The following is a 6,470-nucleotide window of genomic DNA, read 5'->3' as shown; positions in this document are numbered from 1 at the left end:
ATGTTAGAGGTATAACCTGGTGGGAGGTGATTGGATACTGGGGGCAGTTTCTCATGGTTTAACACCATCCTGCTCCAGACATGTGAAGATGCCTACTTCCACTTTGCTTTCCACCATGAGTAAAAGCTCCCTGAGGTCTCCCCAGAAACCGATGCTGCCATGCCTTCTGCACAGCCTGCAGAACCATGAGCCAATAAAACCATTTTCCCTTATAAATTACCTAATCTCAGGTATTTCTTTATAGCAGTGCAAGAATGAACTAATACAGGCAAGACCTCACTATGTTTCCCAGACTGGTTTGGAATTCCTGCGCTTCAAGCCATCCTCCTGCCTCAGCCTCTCAAAGTGCTGCTGGGATTACAGCAGTGAATCACAGTGCCTGACCCTAATGGTCTGAGTTTAAGGTGAGAACATTTGACAAATTTGTATCCTGGTCAAGTGTTTGCTCAACAATGTAGAGTAGGTAAGTTAGAGTTTACCAGATTTGGGATTTTATGTGTAGGCTGCCATGCAAGTGTGGAAGTCAGTGACTTAGAGAATTTGATTTAGAAATATTTCTGAAATTTTAAAGTGTTTTGGGTGGCATAATATTGGGGAACAGGAGCTTATATTACCTTTGTCAGTGGGATAGGAGATAGTAGACACACCTCATGGATAGGTGGCTGTTGAGACTTCAGGTGTGGTATAGAAATTGGTGATAAAATGTTTGTTGGCTGAAAGTGGTTAAGAAAAGAAAATTTGAAAGGAATGTTCAGGAGAATTAAACCTTAGCAGGAAGATCAAATGGATGTGGTAGTCACCAAATATGGTAATAGAAAAGGGGAATAAAAGAAAACAAGTTAGGTGCTAAAATTATCAAACTATGAAGGGCATTTCTGGGATATCAATGTATAGTTTTTTTTTTAATTTTTGAGCAGGACCCTAATTGTTTTATATTAAAAGGTATTTGTGCAATGAAGAACCTAATGTGTTAATACCACAACTAAAGATTTGGGGGCCTGTCTGAGCTTTTTCTTTCCTTTTTATAACACCCTCTCATTTTATTGTAATTTTAAATGGCCTAGGGAATATAGTTGATTTTCTTAAAGCACAATTAAAAACATGTTTCTCTCTCTCTCTCTCTCTCTCTCTCTCTCTCTCTCATATCAACCTATGATCTACCTTTGTATCTATCTAGGGTTTTTTGGTTATTTGCTTTTAAAAAATTAAAATTGTAATATACATCTTTCTTCCCAATTAACAACATCTTAAATATTCCCCTAGGTCAATAAGTGTAGATTGATATAATGAGTCAGTAGATTAATAACTTTCAATTATATATATATATATATATATATATGTATATTTATATATACAATATTATTGAAACATCCTTTTGATGGGCATTTAAATTGTTTTCTGCCTGTACGTATTTTTTATTTTTATGGTTATTATTGGTACAAAAAGTAAGGATATTGGAAAATACATTCTTATATCTGGGTGATATTTTTCCTATAGCATATATGTCTTTATTTGAGATTTAAATATATTTTATCAGTGGCTATAGCTATATTACCTTCCCCATAGATACCAGAAACTGATAGTTTCAACAGCATTCACCTCATAAAAGTACCAATGTGCTCAATTCCTTGGCAAGACTGAATAACTTTAAAAATTTTAATTAAAAAAAATTGTCAATTTTATGGGTAAAAAGTATATCTACTTGTTATGTTACTTCATATTATTATAACTATTACAATTATAACAGTTACACTTCCCATTGGTTTTGCTTTTCCATTAATTGCTCTTTGGAACTACACTTGCTTTTTCTAAGTGGTTTGCCTTTTTCTTACCAACTAGTATTATTTTTTATATTGGGGTTATTAACTGTCTGTCATTTATGATGCAAAGATTTTTCTCATTTTAGTCCTTATGCTTTCTTCTAATTGCTTTTTTATTGCTTTAACTATAGATTGCAATAACTTAGCAGATATGGTTATCATTTTCATTTTATTACAGGTTTAAAGTCAGCTACATTTATAATTAATTTTAATCACACTTTTATATTACAAAAAATATCCTACTACTATTTTGTTTTGCTTGTATTTTAAAAATATTTAGTTTTTTCAAATTTTGATTATATTTTAGTTAAGGACCCAAGGGGTTTTGTAATTTCACATTAGCAATTAAGTTTTCCAAATTGCTTACATTTGCCTTTTATGATATATATTATCTATAGGAACACGGCATTTTGAAACATCTCATCTATTTCATTGATTATGCTTTTGTTCTTTGTATTTCATTTTTGTGTTTACAGATTTTTTTAAAATATCATCTTTCTCTATTGTTATTTTATCATCCTTTTGGCTCTCTATGTTTTCAAAATAAATTTTGACCATTTGCCTTATTTTATTCTACATTTAGCAATTGTACCTACTTTCCCTTCTCAAATTACGAGATTTTCTTTTTTAGCCAGAATCATTTCATGTAACAGCCTTTAGCTACAAGCACATTCTCAGACTTTACATTCAAGATAAGTAAAATAGAGGAAGTTAGTTATGCGTATTGGGTCAGCCAGTGATAACAGTGGAATTCTTAGTAATCCAAGTTCCTATTTATTATTTGTTTTATCACCCATCTACCCATGTATCTATCTACCTATTTATTGTCTATCAATTCTGAAAATATCATTGCGATTTTATCACTGAGTTGATTACATTGTTAATTTGAAAAGCTGGGGAAGAGAAAGAAGAGGATGATCGAGGAAAAAAAATGAATTTATTACCACTGAACTGTACACTTAAAAATGGTTCAACCATTGTGGAAGACAGTGGGGCGATTACTCAAGGATCTAAAACCAGAAATACCATTTGGCTCAGCAATCCCATTACTGGGTATATACCCAAAGGATTATAAATCATTCTACTATAAAGACACATGCATACATATGTTTATTGCAGCACTGTTCACAATAGCTAAGACTTGGAACTAACCCAAATGCCCATCAGTGATAGACTGGATAAAGAAAATGTGGCACATATACACCATGGAATACTATGCAGCCATAGAAAAGGATGAATTCATGTCCTTTGCAGGGACATGGATGAAGAGGGAATGCATCATTCTCACCAAACTAACACAAGAACAGAAACCAAACACCACATGTTCTCACTCATAAGTGGGAGTTGAACAATGAGAACATGCGGACACAGGGAGGGGAACATCACACACCGGGGCCTGTCGGGGGTTGGGGGCTAGGGGAGAGATAGCAATGGGAGAAATACTTAATGTAGATGATGGGTTGATGGGTGCAGCAAACCGCTATGGCACATGTATATCTATGTAACAAACCTGCACATTCTGCACATGTATCCCAGAACTTAAAGTTTAATAAAATTAAAAAATGAAATAAATAAATAAATAAATAAATAAATAAAATGAAATGAAATTTAAAGAGTCAAAAAAAAAGTAGTCAAGCTTGGTGGCGGGCGCCTATAGTCCCAGTTACTCTGGAGGTTGAGGCATGAGAATCACTTGAACCTAGGAGGTGGAAGTTGCAGTGAGCTGAGATAGCACCACTGCACTCCAGCCTGGGCAACAGAGTAAGACTCTGTCCCAAAAATAAATTTTAAAAAAATGATAAAGAGGGCCAGGTTCCATGGCTCACTCCTTTAATCCCAGCACTTTGGGAGGCCGAGGCAGGTAGATCACTTGAGGTCAGGAGCTCGAGACAAGCCTGGCCAACATGGTGAGACCCTGTCTCTACTACAAATACAAAAATTAGCGAGTCATGGTGGCATGAACCTGTAATCCCAGCTACTTGGGAGACTGAGGCAGGAAAATTGCTTGAACTTGAGAGGCGGAGGTTGTGATGAGCCAAGATCACACCACTGCACTCTAGCCTGGTCAACAGAGTGAGCCTCTGTCTAAGAAAAAAGTAAAGATGATAATGTGGTTGACTGTGTTCCCACCCTAATCTCAACTTTAATAGTATCTCCCAGAATTTCCATGTGTTGTGGAAGGGACCAAGAGGGAGATAACTGAATCATGGGGGCTGGTCATCCTGTGCTATTCTCATGATAGTGAACAAGTCTCACAAGATCTGATAGGTTTATCAGGGGTTTCTGCTTTTGCTTCCTCCTCATTTTTTCTCTTGCAGCTGCCATGTAAGAAGTGCTTTTCATCTCCCGCCATGATTCTGAGGCCTCCCCAGCCATGTGGAATTGTAAGTCCAATTAAACTTCCTTTTCTTCCCAGTCTCAGGTATGTCTTTGTCAGCAGTGTGAAAATGGAGTAATACAGTAAATTGGTACCAGTAGAGTGGGGCATAGCTGAAAAGATACCCGAAAATGTGGAAGCAACTTTGGAACTTGGTAACAGGCAAAGGTTGGAACAGTTTGAAGAAGACAGGAAAATGTAGGAAAGTTTGGAATCTCCTGAAGACTTGCTGAATGGCTTTGACAAAAATGCTGATAGTGATGTAAACAATAAGGTCCAGGCTGAGGTGGTCTCAGATAGTGATGAGAAACTTGTTGGGAACTGGAGAAAAGGTGACTCCTGTTATATTTTGGCAAAGAAACTGAGGGCATTTTCCCCCTGCACTAGAGATTTATGGAACTTTGAACTTGGGAGAGATGATTTAGGATATCTGGTGAAAGAAATTTCTAAGCAGCAAAGCATTCAAAAGGTGACTTGGGTGCTGTTAAAAGCATCCTAGAGCATAAAAGTTCAGAAAATTTGCAGCCTGATGATGCACTAGGAATGAAAAACCCAGTTTTTGAGGAGAAATTCAAGTTGGCTGCAGAAATTTGCATAAATAACAAGGAGCCTAATGTTAATGCCCAAGACCATGGGAAAAATGTCTCCAGGCTATGTCAGAGATCTTCATGGCAGCCCCTCCCATCACAAACCCAGAGGGCCCGAAGGAAAAAGTGGTTTCATGGGCCAGACCCAAGGTCCCCATGCTGTGTGCAGCCTAGGGACTTGGTGCCCTGTGTCCCAGCTGTTCCAGCCTTGGCTGAAAGGGGCCAATGTACAGCATGGACTGTGGCTTCAGAGGGTGGAAGCCCCAAGCCTTGGCAGTTTCCACGTGGTATTGAGCCTGTGGGTGCACAGAAGTCAAGAATCGAGGTTTGGAAGCTTCCACCTAGGTATCAGAAGATGTATGGAAACACCTGGATGCCCAGGCAAAAGTTTTCTGCAGGGATGCAGCCCTCATGCTTGGGCATGAGGGAAGGGAAATGTGGGGTCAGAGCCCCCACACAACATCCCTACTGGAGCACTGCACCGTGTGCCTGGAATAGCCGCAGACACTCAATGCCAGCCCTTGAAAGCAGCAGGGAAGGATGCTGTTCCCTGCAAAGCCACAGAGGCAGGGCTGCCCGTGACCATGAGAACCCACCTCTTGCATCAGAGTGACCTGGGTTTGAGACCTAGAGTCAAAGGAGATCATTTTGGACCTTTAAAATTTGACTGCCCCACTGGATTTTGGACTTTCGTGGGCCCTGTAACCCCTTTGTTTTGGCCAATTTCTCTGATTTGGAATGGCTGTATTTACCTAATACTTGTCCCCCCTTGTATCTAGGAAGTCACTAGATTGTGTTTGATTTTACAGGCTCATAGGCAGAAGGGACTTGCCTTGTCTCAGATGAGACTTTGGACTGTGGACTTTTGGGTTAATACTGAAATGAGTTAAGCCTTTGGGGGACTGCTGGGAAGGCATGATTGGTTTTGAAATGTGAGGACAAGAGATTTGGAGGGACCAGGGGTGGAATGATAAGGTTTGGCTGTGTTCTCACCCAAATCTCAGCTTGAATAGTATCTCCCAGAATTCCTATATGTTGTGGGAGGGACAGAGAGGGAGGTAATTGAATTATGGGACCCGTCTTTCCCATGCTATTCTTATGATAGCGAATAAATCTTATGAGATCTGATGGGTTTATCAGGGATTTCTGCTTTTGTTTCTTCCTCATTTTTCTCTTGCCGCCGCCATGTAAGAAGTGGCTTTCACCTCCTGCCATGATTCTGAGGCCTCCCCAGCCATGCGGAACTGTAAGTCCAATTAAACCTCCTTTTCTTCCCAGTCTCGGTTATGTCTTTATCAGCAGCATTAAAATGAACTAATACAGATGGTATTTTTTTCTTTTTAATGGAGTACCTATGTTAAAACAAACAAGCAAACAAGAAAACCAAAAAAGGAAAAACACTTGACAAATAGAGCTTAGATAGGCCATTAAGGGAAGGGTTCTCAGGCATAAATACCTGATATCGTAAACCATAACAAAAGACTTGCAAATACCACAACCTTGCAAAAAAGGCCATGACAACTATACACAAAAAATGCTTCTTCAAGAACACCTGTCCAGAAACTACCTGTCCAAACTCAGACTTAAACTACCCTTGTTATTGATCCTTGTACCCAAGGACAATTATCTCAAAAGAAGTATGTAATTCTCCTCATTTTTCCTTTAAAAATCTGTCTTCCTTGACCC

General features: G+C 38.7%; 1 long non-coding RNA gene across 1 annotated transcript; it reads left to right on the top strand.

Moving 5' to 3' along the window:
- The first annotated feature begins 244 nt into the window (after nt 1-244).
- On the top strand, nt 245-5,927 carry LOC124901172 (uncharacterized). Its single transcript, XR_007059123.1, has 2 exons — nt 245-404; nt 4,139-5,927. It is a non-coding gene; the product is annotated as an uncharacterized LOC124901172 (long non-coding RNA).
- Nucleotides 5,928-6,470: the final 543 nt, after the last annotated feature.

This window comes from Homo sapiens, chromosome 5, assembly GCF_000001405.40.
Source record: "Homo sapiens chromosome 5, GRCh38.p14 Primary Assembly".
In the NCBI taxonomy this organism is placed as follows: Eukaryota; Metazoa; Chordata; class Mammalia; order Primates; family Hominidae; genus Homo; species Homo sapiens.
The sequence above is the reverse complement of the archived record's forward strand: the minus strand, read 5'-3'. Positions and strand labels throughout refer to the sequence as shown.